This window comes from Homo sapiens, chromosome 16 (assembly GCF_000001405.40).
Source record: "Homo sapiens chromosome 16, GRCh38.p14 Primary Assembly".
Taxonomy (NCBI): domain Eukaryota; kingdom Metazoa; phylum Chordata; class Mammalia; order Primates; family Hominidae; genus Homo; species Homo sapiens.
Genome location: NC_000016.10, coordinates 59,062,543 through 59,080,720, shown reverse-complemented (window position 1 = coordinate 59,080,720; position 18,178 = coordinate 59,062,543). Strand labels below are relative to the sequence as shown.

Genomic DNA, 18,178 nt, shown 5'->3' with positions numbered 1-18,178 from the left:
CTCTGAATTCAGCAGCATTCACTTGGACAGTTTGCATGCTTCATGAATTTTCCCAAGATACTTGTTTTTACTTTGGATTCTTCCTTAGAATATGCATACTCACTTATAAATTTTATGTATATACAACTCTACTCACATAATATACATGATAAATACATTAAGAGATTTTCAAAAATAAGGATGAAATAAGCCATATTTTTAAAACAATTATTTTATGAATTGATAGAACAAGTATCCTTGTTACTATCACTAAAGATAATATCACTGTGATTTTAATCTAAGTCTGATTCTTAGTCCAGCTCACTTCAAGACTAGGTTTTAGTGGCCAACATAGCTAAACAAGCTATCCCTCAAAGCACAAAAATCTTTAAATGGGGTGTCGAGGGGAGGAGAGCCTGATTATCTTGCAAAATAAGTCTTGATACTCATTTATCAATTGCGTAGGATTCACTTGGTGTTTTGGATGTATAATTTTTAAATATCTTGAAACAGGTGGTCATTTCATACAAGCTTTAATCAATATATCAAGGCAAAACAAGTAGAATGTGATATATTAATAACTGTGTCTTCAAAAAAATAACTGTGTCTTCAATCTACATATCAATTTATTTTTTTTCAGCCTACTTAGTGTTTGACTTTATTGGCTTGTTGTTTTTAACCTTGCTTGTGCTAAGAGTAGAAGTGTAGCTCTGTCACTTTCTCGTGTTTTTTTTCTTGAATTATTGATATTACTTGAAATTCATTATTTCTTAGCAATAATCATTTTTAACAGTTTGATTGAGGTATAATTGATATACAATAGACTGCACACACTTAAAGTATACAATGTGATTAGTTTTGACGTAAGTATACAACCAGGAAACCATAACCACAATCTCTACGCTATCTTGATGATACAGCATTACATTGTCTTAAATCAGGTCATGCAAGTCCTCCAACTTTACTTTTTTTTCAAAGCAGTCTGGGCTATTCCAGGTCCTATACATTTCCACATGAATTTTAGAATCAATTTGTCTATTTATACATATACACGCACACACACACACACAGAAAGTCTGCTGGAACTTCTATTGAGAATGCATTGAATCTATAAATACATTTGTGTAAAATTTTTATCTTAATATTTTTTAGTCTTCTTTACCAAATTTCTGTCTATTATCCTATCAACTATTTGAGCGGTATTAGTATCTATGACTAAAATTGTGGATTTGTCTGTCTATACTTGCAGTACTATCCATTTCTTGTGCTATGCATGTTGAAGACCTATTATTAGGTGCATGAAGACTAAGAATTGTTGTCTTCTTGATAAACTGATCCATTTATCATTACGAAATGATCTTTTTCCCTAGTAAGAATCTTTTCTCTGAAAGCTGCTTTGTCTGATTATATATAATCACTCCTGATTTTTATGGTTAGTATAAGCAAGATATATTTTTTCATTCTTTTACTATTAACCTATTCACTTCTTTATATTTAAAATGCATTTCTTTTTCTGTTTTTTTGTTTTTTTGTTTTTTGGTTTTTGTTTTTTTTTTTTTTTTTGGAGACAGAATCTCACTCTGTGCCCAGGCTGCAGTGATGCAATCTCAGCTCACTGCAAATTCCGTCCCCCAGATTCCAGTGTTTCTCCTGCCTCAGCCTCCCAAGAAGCTGGTAGGTGCATGCCACCATGCCTGGCTAATATTTTTCGTATTTTTAGTAGAGATGGGGTTTCACCATGTTGGCCAAGCTGGTCTTGAACTCGTGACCTCAGGGGATCCACCCACCTCGGCCTCCCAAAATGCTAGGATTACAGGCATGAGCCACTGCACCCAGCCTAAGTGCATTTCTTGTAGACAGCATACACACTGTCTTGCTGCTTAATCAAAGAATCCCTGCTTGTCCGTAAAAAAGAACAAGATCACATCCTTTGCAGGTACATGGAATGGAGATGGAGGCCATTATCCTTAGCAAACTAATGCAGGAACAGAAAACCAAATACTGCATGTTCTCACTTATAAGTGAGAGCTAAATATTGAGAACTTATGAACACAAAGAAGGAAACAACAGACAGTGGGATCTACTTGAGGGCAGAGGGTGGGAAGAGACAGAGGAGCAGAAAAAATGACTATTTGGTAGTGAGCTTAATACCTGGGTAGTGAAATAATCTGTACAACAAACTCCTGTGACACAAGTTTATCTATGTAACAAACCAGCACATGTACCCCTGAACCTAAAAGTTTTTTTGAATCCTCGATTTTCACTTGAGACATTTAAAGTATTTACATTTAATGTAATTATTTATATGTTAAGCTTTCAGTATTACTATTTGTTTTCCTTTTTTTAATATATATACTTTAAGTTTTAGGGTACATGTGCACAACGTGCAGGTTTCTAACATATGGATACATGTGCCATGTTGGTGTGCTGCACCCATTAACTGGTCATTTGCCATTAGGTATATCTCCTAATGCTATCCCTCCCTGCTCCCCCCACCCCACAACAGTCCCTGGTGTGTGATATTCCCCTTCCTGTGTCCATGGGTTCTCATTGTTCAATTCCCACCAATGAGTCAGAACATGCAGTGTTTGGTTTTTTGTCCTTGCGATAGTTTGCTGAGAATGATGGTTTCCAGCTTCATCCATGTCCCTACAAAGGACATGAACTCATCATTTTTTATGGCTGCATAGTATTCCATGGTGTATATGTGACACATTTTCTTAATCCAGTCTATCATTCTTGGACATCTGGGTTGGTTCCAAGTCTTTGCTATTGTGAATAGTGCCGCAATAAACATACGTGTGCATGTGTCTTTATAGCAGCATGATTTATAGTCCTTTGGGTATATACCCAGTAATGGGATGGCTGGGTCAAATGGTATTTCTCGTTCTAGATCCCTGAGGAATCGCCACACCGACTTCCACAATGGTTGAACTAGTTTACAGTCCCACCAACACTGTAAAAGTGTTCCTATTTCTCCACATCCTCTCCAGCACCTGTTGTTTCCTGACTTTCTAATGATTGCCATTCTAACTGGTGTGAGATGGTATCTCATTGTGGTTTTGATTTGCATTTCTCTGATGGCCAGTGATGGTGAGCATTTTTTCATGTGTTTTTTGGCTGCATAAATGTCTTCTTTTGAGAAGTGTCTGTTCATATCCTTTGCCCACTTGTTGATGGGGTTGTTTGTTTTTTTGTTGTAAATTTGTTTGAGTTCATTGTAGATTCTGGATATTAGCCCTTTGTCAGATGAGTAGGTTGCAAAAATTTTCTCCCATTCTGTAGGTTGCCTGTTCACTCTGATGGTGGTTACTTTTGCTGTGCAGAAGCTCTTTAGTTTAATTAGATCCCATTTGTCAATTTTGGCTTTTGTTGCCATTGCTTTTGGTGTTTTAGACATGAAGTCCTTGCCCATGCCTATGTCCTGAATGGTAATGCCTAGGTTTTCTGCTAGGGTTTTTATGGTTTTAGGTCTAACATTTAAGTCTTTAATCCATCTTGAATTAATTTTTGTATAAGGTGTAAGGAAGGGATCCAGTTTCAGCTTTCTACATATGGCTAGCCAGTATTTCCAGCATCATTTATTAAATAGGGAATCCTTTCCCCATTTCTTCTTTTTGTCAGGTTTGTCAAAGATCAGATAGTTCTAGATATGCGGCATTATTTCTGAAGGCTCTGTTCTGTTCTATTGGTCTATATCTCTGTTTTGGTACCAGTACCACACTGTTTTGGTTACTGTAGCCTTGTAGTATAGTTTGAAGTCAGGTAGTGTGATGCCTCCAGCTTTGTTCTTTTGGCTTAGGATTGACTTGGCAATGTGGGCTCTTTTTTTGTTCCATATGAACTTTAAAGTAGTTATTTCCAATTCTGTGAAGAAAGTCATTGGTAGCTTGATGGGGATGGCGTTGATTCTATAAATTACCTTGGGCAGTGAGGCCATTTTCACGATATTGATTCTTCCTACCCATGAGCATGGAATGTTCCTCCATTTGTTTGTATCCTCTTTTATTTCATTGAGCAGTGGTTTGTAGTTCTCCTTGAAGAGGTCCTTCACATCCCTTGTAAGTTGGATTCCTAGGTATTTTATTCTCTTTGAAGCAATTGTGAATGGGAATTCACTCATGATTTCGCTCTCTGTTTGTTTGTTATTGGTGTATAAGAATGCTTGTGATTTTTGCACATTGATTTTGTATCCTGAGGCTTTGCTTAAGTTGCTTATCAGTTTAAGGAGATTTGGGGCTGAGGTGATGGGGTTTTCTAGATATACAATCATGTCATCTGCAAACAAGGACAATTTGACTCCCTCTTTTCCTAATTGAATGCCCTTTATTCCCTTCTCCTGCCTGACTGCCCTGGACAGAACTTCCAACACTATGTTGAATAGGAGTGGTGAGAGAGGGCATCCCTGTCTTGTGCCAGTTTTCAAAGGGAATGCTTCCAGTTCTTGTCCATTCAGTATGATATTGGCTGTGGGTATGTCATAGATAGCTCTCATTATTTTGAGATACATCCCATCAATACCTAATTTATTGAGAGCTTTTAGCACGAAGGGTTGTTGAATTTTGTCAAAGGCCTTTTCTGCATCTATTGAGATAATCATGTGGTTTTTGTCTTTAGTTCTGTTTATATGATGGATTATGTTTATTGATTTTCACATGTTGAACCAGCCTTGCATCCCAGGGATGAAGCCCACTTGATCATGGTGGATAAGCTTTTGGATCTGCTGCTGGATTCAGTTTGCTGGTATTTTATTGAGGATTTTTGCATCAATGTTCATGAAGGATATTGGTCTAAAATTCTCTTTTTTTGTTGTGTCTCTGCCAGGCTTTGGTGTCAGGATGATGCTGGCCTCATAAAATGAGTTAGGGAGGATTCCATCTTTTTCGATTGATTGGAATAGTTTCAGAAGGAATGGTATCAGCTCCTCCTTCTACCTCTGGTAGAAATCGGCTGTGAATCCATCTGGTCCTGGACTTTTTTCAGTTGGTAAGCTATTAATTATTGCCTCAATTTCAGAGCCTGTTATTCGTCTATTCAGAGATTCAACTTCTTCCTGGTTTAGTCTTGGGAGAGTGTATGTGTCGAGGAATGTATCCATGTCTTCTAGATTTTCTAGTTTATTTGCATAGAGGTGTTTATGGTATTCTCTGATGGTAGTTTGTATTTCTGTGGGATCGTTGGTGATATCCCCTTTGTCATTTTTTATTGTGTCTATTTGATTCTTCTCTCTTTTCTTCTTTATTAGTCTTGCTAGTGGTCTATCAATTTTGTTGATCTTTTCAAAAATCCAGCTCCTGGATTCATTGATTTTTTGAAGGGTTTTTTTGTGTCTCTATTTCCTTCAGTTCTGCTCTGATCTTAGTTATTTCTTCCCTTCTGCTAGCTTTTGAATGTGTTTGCTCTTGCTTCTCTAGTTCTTTTAATTGTGATGTTAGGGTGTCAATTTTAGATCTTTCCTGCTTTCTCTTGTGGGCATTTAGTGCTATAAATTTCCCTCTACACACTGCTTTGAATTTGCCCTAGAGATTCTGGTATGTTGTGTCTTTGTTCTCGTTGGTTTCAAAGAACATCTTTATTTCTGCCTTCATTTTGTTATGTACCCCGTAGTCATTCAGGAGCAGGTTGTTCAGTTTCCATGTAGTTGAGTGGTTTTGAGTGAGTTTCTTAATCCTGAGTTCTAGTTTGATTGCACTGTGGTCTGACAGACAGTTTGTTATAATTTCTATTCTTTTACATTTGCTGAGGAGTGCTTTACTTCCAACTATGTGGTCAATTTTGGAATAGGTGTGGTGTGGTGCTGAAAAGAATGTATATTCTGTTGATTTGGGGTGGAGAGTTCTGTAGATGTCTATTAGGTCCGCTTGGTGCAGAGCTGAGTTCAATTCCTGGGTATCCTTGTTAACTTTCTGTCTGGTGGATCTGTCTAATGTTGACAGTGGGGTGTTAAAGTCTCCCATTATTATTGTGTGGGAGTCTAAGTGTCTTTGTAGGTCACTAAGGCCTTGCTTTATGAATCCGGGTGCTCCTGTATTGGGTGCATATATATTTAGGATAGTTAGCTGTTCTTGTAGAATTGATCCCTTTACCATTACGTAATGGCCTTCTTTGTCTCTTTTGATCTTTGTTGGTTTAAGTCTGTTTTATCAGAGACTAGGATTGCAACCCCTGCCTTTTTTTGTTTTCCATTGGCTTGGTAGATCTTCCTCCATCCCTTTATTTTGAGCCTATGTGTGTCTCTGCACATGCGACGGGTTTCCTGAATACAGCACACTAAGGGGTCCTGACTCTTTATCCAATTTGCCAGCCTGTGCCTTTTAATTGGAGCATTTAGTCCATTTACATTTAAGGTTAGTATTGTTATGTGTGAATTTGATCCTGTCATTATGATGTTAGCTGGTTATTTTGCTCATTAGTTGATGCAGTTTCTTTCTAGCATTGATGGTCCTTACAATTTGGCATGATTTTGCAGCGGCTGGTACCGGTTGTTCCTTTCCATGTTTAGCACTTCCTTCAGGAGCTCTTTTAGGGCAGGCCTGGTGGTGACAAAATCTCTCAGCATTTGCTTGTCTGTAAAGGATTTTATTTCTCCTTCACTTATGAAGCTTAGTTTGGCTGCATATGAAATTCTGGGTTGAAAATTCTTTTCTTTAAGAATGTTGAATATTGGCCCCCACTCTCTTCTGGCTTGTAGAGTTTCTGCCGAGAGATCAGCTGTTATTCTGATGGGCTTCCCCTTGTGGGTAACCCGACCTTTCTCTCTGGCTGCCCTTAACATTTTTTCCTTCATTTCAACCTTGGTGAATCTGACAATTATGTGTCTTGGAGTTGCTCTTCTCGAGGAGTATCTTTGTGGTGTTCTCTGTATTTCCTGAATTTGAATGTTGGCCTGCCTTGCTAGATTGGGGAAGTTCTCCTGGATGATATCCTGCAGTGTTTTCCAACTTGGTTCCATTCTCCCCGTCACTTTCAGTTACACCAATCAGACGTAGATTTGGTCTTTTCACATAGTCCCGTATTTCTTGGAGCCTTTGTTCATTTCTTTTTATTCTTTTTGCTCTAAACTTCTCTTCATGCTTCATTTCATTCATTTCATCTCCCATCGCTGATACCCTTTCTCCCAGTTTATCGCATCGGTTACTGAGGCTTGTGCATTTGTCACGTAGTTCTCATGCCGTGGTTTTCAGCTCCATCAGGTCCTTTAAGGACTTCTCTGCATTGATTATTCCAGTTATCCATTTGTCTGATTTTTTTTCAAAGTTTTTAACTTCTTTGCCATTGGTTCAAACTTCCTCCTGTAGCTCAGAGTAGTTTGATCTTCTGAAGCCTTCCTCTCTCAACTCGTCAAAGTCATTCTCCATCCAGCTTTGTTCCGTTGCTGGTGAGGAGCTGTGTTCCTTTGGAGGAGGAGAGGCGCTCTGATTTTTAGAGATTGCAGTTTTTCTGCTCTGTTTTTTCCCCATCTTTGTGGTTTTATCTACCTTTGGTCTTTGATGATGGTGATGTACAGATGGGGTTTTGGTGTGAATGTCCTTTCTGTTAGTTTTGCTTCTAACAGTCAGGACCCTCAGCTGCAGGTCTTTTAGAGTTTACTGGAGGTCCACTCCAGACCCTGTTTGCCCGGGTATCAGCAGCAGTGGCTGCAGAACAGCGGACATTGGTGAACCGCAAATGCTGCTGCCTTATCATTCCTCTGGAAGTCTTGTCTCAGAGGAGTACCCGGCCGTGTGAGGTGTCAGTCTGCCCCTACTGGGGGATGCCTCCCAGTTAGGCTACTTGGGGGTCAGGGACCTCCTTGAGGAGGCAGTCTGCCTGTTCTCAGATCTCAAGCTGCATGCTGGGAGAACCACTACTCTCTTCAAAGCTGTCAGACAGGGACATTTAAGTCTGCAGAGGTTATTGCTGTCTTTTGTTTGTCCTGTGCCTTGCCCCCAGAGGTGGAGCCTACAGAGGCAGGCAGGCCTCCTTGAGTTGTGGTGGGCTCCACCGGGTTCGAGCTTCCCGGCCGCTTTGTTTACCTACTCAAGCCTCAGCAATGGCAGGTGCCCCTTCCCCAGGCTCGCTGCTGCCTTGCAGTTTGATCTCAGACTGCTGTGCTAGTAATGAGCAAGGCTCCGTGGGCGTAGGACCCTCCAAGCCATGTGCGGGATATAATCTCCTGGTGTGCCATTTGTGAAGCCTGTTGGAAAAGTGCAGTATTAGGGTGCGAGTGACCCGATTTTCCAGGTGCCATCTGTCACCCCTTTCTTTGACTAGGAAAGGGAATTCCCTGATCCCTTGCACTTCCCGGGTGAGGCAATGCCTCACCCTGCTTCAGCTCACGCATGGTGCGCTGCACCCACTGTCCTGCACCCACTGTCCGGCACTCCTCTGTGAGATCAACCCAGTACCTCAGTTGGAAATGCAGAAATCACCGATCTTCTGTGTCGCTCTCACTGGGAGCTGTAGACTGGAGCTGTTTCTATTCGGCCATCTTGGCTCCACCCTGTTTTCCATTAGTTTTATCTTTCATGTTTCTTTTTTTCCTTTTCTTCTACCTTCTTTTGGATAAATTGAGTATTTTTATAAGTCCATTTTATCTCCTTTGTTGGTTTACTGCCCATAATTCTTTGTCTTTTTATTTTAGTAGTTTTAGTGGTTGCTTTAAGGTTTATAGTATTCATTTTTAATTCATTACATTCTACCCTAAAGTGACCCTATAGCACCTCCTATACAGTATAATATTTTTATAATATCATACTCTGAGTTATCTGCTTCCCCCTTGTGCTAGTGTTGTCATATCTTTTACATATTTTATAAACCCACACTATGTGGCTGTTTTTGTTTGAATGGTCATTGATCTTTTAAAGATATTTAAAAATGAAGTTTTAAATTCTATATTTATTTATGTAGTCACAATTTCCAGTACTCTTCCTTCTTTTGTCTAGGGCCATATTCCCATCTGGTATCATTTTTCTTTAGCCTGAAGGAATTCCTTTAACATTTCTGTAGTGAGAGTCTCTTAGTGATCAATTCTTTCCATTTTTGGATGTCTGAAAAAAGCCTACGTGCCTTCATTTTAAATATTCTTACTGAATATAAAATTCTAGGTTGACTTCTTTTCTTTCAGTATTTTAAAGATGTTGCTTCACCATTTCCTCACTTTCATTGTTTCAGATAAGAAATGTGCTTTCATTAGGAAAAATAGCTAATGGATGCTGGGCTGAATACCTAGGTGATGGGTTGACAGGTGCAGCAAACCACCATGGCACATGTTTACCTATGTAACAAACCTGCACATCCTGCAAATGTACCCCAGAGCTTAAAATAAAAATTAAAAAAAAAAATGTGCTTTCACCCTCATCATTCCTCCAGTAATAAAGATTTTCTCTTTATTACTGGTGTTGAGTAATTTGAATAAAACATATGATGGTGTAGTATTTTTTTTTTTTTTTTTTTTTGAGACAGTGTCTCGCTCTGTCACCCAGGCTGGAGTGCAGTGGCATGATCTCGGCTCACTGCAAGCTCCGCCTCCCGGGTTCATGCCATTCTCCTGCCTCAGCCTCCTGAGTAGCTGGGACTACAGGCACCCGCCACCAAGCCCGGCTAATTTTTTTGTATTTTCAGTAGAGACAGCGTTTCACCGTGTTAGCCAGGATGGTCTGGATCTCCTGACCTCATGATCTGCCCGCCTCGGCCTCCCAAAGTGCTGGGATTACAGGCGTGAGCCACCATGCCCCGCCATAGTATTCTTAATAGTTCTTATGCTTGCTTGAAGTCCCTTTAGTGTAAGCTTATAATTTTCAACAAATTTGGGGAAAAAATTGTTCATTATTTGTTCTAACAACCTCCTCTTCTCCCTTCAGGGACTCCAGTCATACACGTATTCACATATTAGGCTACTTGAAGTTTTCCTATAGCTCACTGATGTCCTGTTCATTTTTCATTGTTTTATCTGTTTCATTTTTTATTTTTTTAGTTTCTACTGTTATGTCTTCATGTTTACTAATCTTTTCTTCTACAATGTCTAATATGCTGTTAATCCCTTCCAGTGTATTTTTCATCTCATTCATCACAGTTTTCTCCCCAGATGTTCAACTGGATCTGTTTTATGTCTTCTGTATGTCTAATTAACTTGAGGACATATATAATACAATTATAATAATTATTTTAATGTTCTTGTCTGATAATTCTGATATATATAATATCAGTTCTGAGTTGCTTTTTATTGATTGATTCTCTCCTCATTATAAATAGTATTTTTGTGATTCTTTGCCAGCCTCATAAGTATTTGTCGAATACCAGACATTGAGAGTTTACCTCGGATGCTGGATATTTTTGTGTTCCCTACAAATATTCTTGAGCTTTGTTCTTGAATGCAGTTAAGTTACTTGCAAAGGAGTTCGATCTTTTGGGATCTTGCCATTGATAATCATTAGATGGTACTGAAGCAATGCTCAGTCCAGGGATAATTATTACCCACCACTGATGCAAGAATCTTTTGTGCACTCTACTAAATACTTCATGGATCATGTGCTTTTCCAGTCTGGTAGTGGAAACAGACACTATTCCTGACCCTGTGTGATCAGGAAGTGCTATTACCTCTCTTCTTTTCAGGTAGTTCTTTCTCTAATATCACATAGTTTTCTCACATGCATACACTAATCAGTACTCAGCTGAATACTTGATCAGAACCCTCTGCAGATCTTTGGAGTGCTATCTTTTTTGAGACAAGAGTTTCACTCTGTTGCCCAGGCTGGAGTGCTCTGGCACAATCTCGGCTCACTGCAACCTCCAACTCCTGGGTTCAAGCAATTCTCACGCTTCAGCCTCCCAAGTAGCTGGGACCACAGGTATGTGCCACCACATACGGCTAGTATTTGTATTTTTAGTAGAGACGAGGGTTTTCCCATGTTGACCAGGTTGGTCTCAAACTCCTGACCTCAAGTGATCCGCCCACCTCGGCCTCCAAAAGTGCTGGGATTACAGGCGTGAGCCACTGCACCCAGCTCTGGAGTGCTTTCTTTGTGCAACTTTCTCTTCTCCGGTTTTGTGTTTTGTGATCTCTAGTGGCACTGGTTGTTCTATGAGATGGGGCTCATCTCATTTGTTTACCACCTCTCAGGAATCACTCTCTTTTATTGCCTGAAGTTCAATATCTTCAAAGCCATTTTTCATACATTTGCCAGTTTTTTTGGTTATTGCAGATGAAAGGGTAGGTAAATCTGGTCCTTGCCATTCTATCTTGACCAGATGCAGACGTCTTCTCCATCTCTCAAAAATGGTTGTCACAGTTAATGTTAGGTGTCAATTTCACTGAATTAAGAGATACCCAGATAGCTAGTAAAGCATTATTTCTAGATGTGTCTGTGAGGGGTTTCTGGAAGACACTGACATTTAAATCAGTGGACTGAGTAAGGAAGACCTGCCGTCATCCAAGTGGGTGGGCACTATCCAACTGACTGAGTGCCCCAATGAAACAAAATGCACAAGAAAGGTAAATTTGACCTCTCTTCTGGAGCTGGGACATTCACCTTCTCCTACCCTTGGACATAAGGACTACAGTTTCTCCAGACTTTGGACTCTGGGACTTGCACCAGTGGCCCCCTGGTTCTCAGGACTTTGGACTCAGACTGGACCATGATTCCCTGGATCTCTCTGTGGTTGACCACATGAAACTTCTTAGCCTCCATAATCACATCAGCCAATTTCCCTAGTAAAGGCCCTCATAGAAATGCAAATCAAAAGCACAATGAGATACTATCTCATACCAGTCAGAATGGCTACTATACAAAAGCCAATAAACAACAGATACTGGCAAGGTTGCAGAGAAAAGGGAATGTTTATACACTATTGGTGGGAGTGTAAATTATTCCAGCTACTGTGAAAAGCAGTTTGGAGATTTATCAAAGAACTTAAAGCCATTATTTCACCCAACGATCCCAACACTAGGTATATACCCAAAGGAAAATAAATTGTTCTAACAAAAAGACACATGCATGCGTATGTTCATTGCAGCACTATTCACAATAGCAAAGACATGGAATCAACCTAGATGTCCATCGATGGTAGACTAGATAAAGAAAATGTGGTCCATGTACACCATAGAATACTATGCGGCCTTAAAAAAAACAGGATCATATGCTTTGCAACAACGTGGATGGAGCTTGAGGCCACTATCCTAAACAAACTAAAATAGAAACAGAAAACCAAATACCACATGTTTTCGCTTCTAAGTGGGAGCTAAACATTGAGCACACATGGACATAAACATGGGGACAATAAACATGGGAACTACCAGAGGTGGGAGGGAAGGAGGGAGCATAGGCTGAAAAACTACCTATTGGATACTGTGCTCACTGCCTGGGTCCAGTATACTTATGTAACCATCCTATGCATGTACCCCCTATATTTAAAATAGAAACTGAAATTTATAAATAAATAAAAACCCCTCTCTATATATTATATGTGATATATGTTCAAGGTCACACAACTGGTAGACATAAAATTGTTTTTTAAAGATATATATAGTTCCCATTGTTTCTGTTTCTCTGGAAAACCCTAATTAATAGAATGGTGGTGTGGATTTTTTGTGTGATAGTCAACAAATGCACAGAAAACGTTATGAACTGAGATCAGTGCAAGGAAGTAATGCAGTGCTTTTAATTTCAAACATTTAACCATGCAAACTGACTGGCTATATAAGAGAAAACATTTGCTTAAGAAAGTGAATAGGTGAAGAGTAGGAGAAATCTCTCCAAGGAAAGAGAGAGTGCTTGTAAAAGACTTGTAATGGAAGATGTGTGGATCATCAGAGTTCAGAGTACCGTGTGGGGCAGGAGGGCCCAGGCAGATGGCAGGGGGTCTGATCAAGCAAAGTTTGAAAACCTTGGTAAGTATTTTAGACTATTTGAGAGCAATCAAAAGCCACTTAATGACTTTTACCATGGGATAGTAACATAATCAGATTTGCGTTTTGAAAAGACTGTTGGGTTTGTTGTTCTTGTTGTTGTTTCTTCCAAAATCTCAAAAGGAAAGAGAAAAAAATAGATGAAAATCTAGTTGTCCTTGACCTAAATTAGTATACTAGTGAAACCAGCCCAATTGTCCCACAGAACTGATGTTTACTGTTTTCTTGAATAAACATAGGAATTGACCCTTCTAGTCTTAAAGCTTGAAACTTGCATTTATCTTACTTGACCTTTTTCCCAGGAAACCAACCATGAGGCCTTCCAGAGAGTATCAAGGAACTGAAACTCACCAGATCATTGCATCTGGACAATGAGATAGCAGACCTCTCACCTGCCACGATTGCCTAACTGACCACCTGCTTCCTGTTGGCCAACTCAACTTCCTTACCCCTCTCTACTTCCTGTTTTTCCATACTTAGTTACATTCCTTACCCTCTATGTAACCCCACAACTGTAGTTGATCAGGGAGGTAGCTGTGAGACTGATCTCCTGTTCTCCTCAGCTGCAGCACCCAAATAAAGTCTCCTTTCCTGGCAATACTCATTGTTTCAGTAATTGGCTTTCTGTGAGGCAAGCAACAAGATCTAGACTGAAACCCTGGCATTTCGGTAACATTAGAAGGAAGCTCAAACACATATGGGAAGGAAGAAGAAATAATGCACCAATGTCAGCCCACAGAGCCCACAAGGTTGGGATGTCCTTGACACGGAAGGCTGAGGAAAAGGACAAACCTTAGGCAGTATAGTATGCTGTGAAAAGTGCCCAAAAGTATAGCACAACAGACTTGGCTTCAATTCCTGGTTTTGCCATTGGCTACTCATGAGACTGTGGATAACTTAATTTTCCCTACATTACAGATAAACTGAAACTCAAAGCAGCTAATCACACCTACCTTGCACAGTTCTAGTGTGACGTATAAGCCTCTCAGTATAATTCTAACCCAGTAATTGTACAATATATGTTAGCTCTCGGGGTAGTGGTATTGTATAATTAAGTCAACTCACAAAGACCAATATACGTTCAAGGTCACACAGCTGGTAGACATAAAATTGATTTTTAAAAATTACCTTTTAACTCACATACATAATTGATCATAAGAATTATATCAATTTACAATCTCACAAAAAATATCAACTTCGCACTCTCGTACCAACATGAAAAACTGTCATTTAAATAACATTATTTGATCAAGCAAGATATTAAATGATTTTATTCTACTTCTGGACTTCTTAGCAAAAAGATTTATTTCAGATAAAAAAGTTAAAATGTATGGTACTTATATGACCATAGAAGTCGAGATCAAAGGTTAGACTGAAATACAGAATACAGACAACAGTATTATGAGGTCGAATTCATCTGTTGTCGTGTGATTTCATTATCTGTTATCATTTTTCTTTTATTCTTTGACATGAGTTTATAAAGACTTTAGTGTTACTCAAAATAATCTATATTTGCAAATTTATATGGGAATATGGAGATTACACCTATATAAAATCCCTAAAGAGCATATACATTTTCAATTTGGCTTACCAAGGCAATACACATTATGGTTTATCTTACATATATGCTGGCCATCATCAAAGTCACCTTCAATGAAAGACTTGGGGAAGTAGCAGTTTCAGGAGTTAATTCTCCCCACTCTTTGAATCTATCTCATCTCTATATAGTATGCAAATTTTCTTGGAGATATTCCAGAGACTGAATACTATGGGAAAAAAAGTCTTAAAAAAAAAAGACTTAAAATGTCTGTCTTCTCTGATTAAAATTCCAGTAGATATACCTTTTAGGGAGAGAAAAGTTTTTGAATGCACTTATAATTGGACACTTTTAAAATTTCTTAATTATTTACACTTCCTGTTTGAACCAACATAATGACAATGCTGAATGAGAGCTAAAGAGCTCTCTTTTACTTGAACATAGGGATCAAATTCCACAAGGATGAATAGGGCCAGAGAGTGGACTGTTTCCACTTCAACTCATTTTGCTGCCTCTAAGCAAATTACATAAAGCCGAAAATTCACCTGTTTGTAATCAACAGCTTAGCCTCTAATACCATCACAGTTTTCTCTGTAAATATTGCCTGAGTACTTGAAAAATCATCTTAAAATATATTTTTCAAGTGGCAGGCATAATTGGTATAACATGAATTAGTCTAGTATTTAGATTGATCATGTTTATTTTGATCTTTTCAGACACTCCCCATATTCTTATGTGTAACAGGGCATAATGGAAATAGTGCTGATTAGGGATATGGGAGATCTGACCTTCAATGCTGACCCTGACCCTTGAATTTTTCTTTTGGTTTGAAAAAGTAATTTCAGTTATTTGAGTCAGCATTAGGTAAAATGAGGTTATTTAGACTAGGTGCTAAGAAAGTTTTCAGCTGATGTTTTATGAATCTCTGACCAAGGTCATGTTGATAATAAGATATATCCCAACAATTGAGATAATATAGGCTTATGCAAAGGTGAATCTAAGGTGGTGTTGTGAACACAGCATAGGACGAAGCTCACCATTGTATTAACGTGGATATATCACAAGGTGGAATTTGAAGTGGACAGGTAATTATTTTTTCCTTCTAATTTTGTTGTCACCTCAGATTTACAAAGCTGAGTTAAACATATTTCTCAATTGTTCTATGAAAAGCCCTTCTCTTGTTTTACTTTTTATTTATATTTTTTGCTTAATTTTTAGTGTCCATTTCCTTTCCCTTTCCTGCTCATCATCTTGGTCATATATGTAACCTTGTAAAACATATCATGTTATTGTACATGTGTGTTTTTGTGTTTTCAGTTTATATAAATGATGCTATTCTACAGTTCTTGGCTGTTTCTTAATTTATAATTCAAAACTATGCATTTATGGACATACAGTGTGGAATGATGCACACTGGAGACTCAGAAGGGTGGGGGTGTTGGATGAGAAGGTACTTAGTGGGTACAATATACATTATTCAGGTGATGGTTACACTAAAGTCCAGACTTCACCACTATGCAATATATCCATGTAACAAAACTTTTCTTGTCCCCCGTAAATTTATACAAATAATAAAATCTATGCTATACGGTATATTTAAAATCTATCCATTTTTCTATATGTATCTAGCTTACTGATTATATTACTTATTTTTCCAGAAATGAACACATAGATCACCTCAAATTGTTCATTACCATAAATACACTGTACCGCAAGTGGTATCTAAAGTTCAGCACAAAAAGCATGTCAGCAGGGGAAGAAGGGGAAATCTGATGATCTTGGACACTTCTTTTTAATAGACCTGTATGATATTTTTTAACAAGGCAAATAACCAGAAGTGGGGATTGCTAATCCATAATCATGTCATTCTTAATTTCACTACTAACTGCCAAATTGATCTCCAGAATGGCTGTATCTTTCTTGTTGGACATTGTTCCGGGAAAACTCTACTTCTTCTGGTTGCTACCAGCAGCTTCAATCTCCTGACCCTGTAACTCAACCATTGGCCTCCAATGCTACCAGTGAGTGGGAGAAAGGGATGGAGGAGACACATTAGCTCTTTCCTACCTTAGCTCAAACGTGACACATGTCACCTGGAGACCAGCAGCCAGAACTAGTTACTCAACTCCAGGGATGCCTAGAAAATATAAAAGACTCCGTGAATATTTTGTGAACAATGTCTGCACCGGGATTTAACTTCCCAAGTCTGAATGCTTTGCCTTGTTACAATACCTTTTATGCCTTTACAATAAAGAAAAAAAAGTGTAAGCAATGATCAAAGAGTCAATTTTGTATGTCACTGCCAGATTTAATCATGTCACTCCTCTGTTCACAAGCCGTTCATGGCTCCCCTCTGCCTAATAGGCTAAACTTCTTGGCCTAGTTTTCTCTCCAGCAATAGTAGATCAAATTTAGGATGACTTTTCATTCCCATAAATTTTTGATCAGTTTTTATTCAATTTTTGTGTAAATTGGAAGATAGTGATGGTCCCTTAAGAACTGATATGGGATTGAATGAAATTTAATAAGGTGCCTGACAGTTATGCAATTGTGATTTGTAGAACTTTCATTTTATAACATTAAGCAATATTGACCTCAGAAAAGAATAGAATGAGGAACAAAAAGAATGAATATGTTATTCACCTTTTCTAGTCTTTCTACTTGATAACTGCCCCAATAAAAGTCAAAATTAATTTCTGAATAAGACTTGAACAAACTCTTTCAAGAAAGTTGATTTATTACCAAGATTTCATGTACAATATGCAAGAAAACACAGCAGGTAAATGGGTTTCACAAAGAGCACGTTGAAGGATAATATGAAGGGATAGAAACAAACAACCAAAAAACAAAAACACGTAACTGAGTGATTCTCATGAGGATACCCTCAGGGATTTGGGAGGTCCCTTTAACATACCTGGGTTTACTTTCGAACCCCAAGAGATGGCCCTGATTCTCTCAAGCAGAAAAAACCCATCTTGAAGCTATGCTCTCCAATTATTTCAGTCGAGCACACAATACAAATAGCTCTTAGGGTGAGCTGAAATATCTGAAAGTTTGCAGCCCTGCTTTAAAAAACATTTACCTCTGCCAGATTTTATAAAATGTCATTTCAATTATTTTTGCACAACAGCATTGAAGGAACATTTCCTTGATTAGCTTGACACGTGGTAATTTGGGTAGAGTTTAACTTTATTTATCCTTGACTAGAACAAATTGTCTCTCTGCCCTTGTTTATACAAAGTGCTGTTATTTTTTTTTCTCCTTTCATTTGTATAATCTGTGGCTTGGTTTTATCTTAAATGCTGGTAATTGGTACATTGAAGCAGACTTTAACTGCATCGAATTCACAGCTAAGAAAGCAAAGTGGTGTGTGGAGGAGAGGGGCATAGATCCAATACATACATGAGACCTGTTAAACAAAAGCCAAGGATAATTAAAAGCAAAAAGAAAAGAAACTCCTGACAGAACAACGAACTAGCAAAGAGTTTACAACTTTAGAAAAAAAGAAAACTGAAGAGGAAATATTTCCACCACATGGCTTCAATTGTATTTTACATTGAAGAACATTTACTTACTCTCAAATCTAGACATCTATAAGTTAAGACCAGGGGAGACTCTAATACTTTGGCCTTAACCTCATGGGAAAAGTTTATATGTGAAGTTATAATTCTGCTTTAAAGAGTATTGCCACATTAAATGATGTTCAGAAATGGCAATTAGCCTGGAGAACATGTAAACACATACACTATTGTGAATTTAGATGTAAATTTTATTCC

At 38.4% G+C, this 18,178-nt stretch overlaps 1 annotated feature.

Moving 5' to 3' along the window:
- Nucleotides 12,911–14,110: an enhancer, noted in NCBI's record as "MED14-independent group 3 enhancer chr16:59100515-59101714 (GRCh37/hg19 assembly coordinates)". NCBI's record gives its function as "activates an origin of replication core promoter dependent on BRD2, BRD4, P300/CBP and CDK7 cofactors, and independent of MED14, by STARR-seq in HCT116 cells {active_cell/tissue: HCT116}" and the evidence as "EXISTENCE:reporter gene assay evidence [ECO:0000049][PMID:35650434]".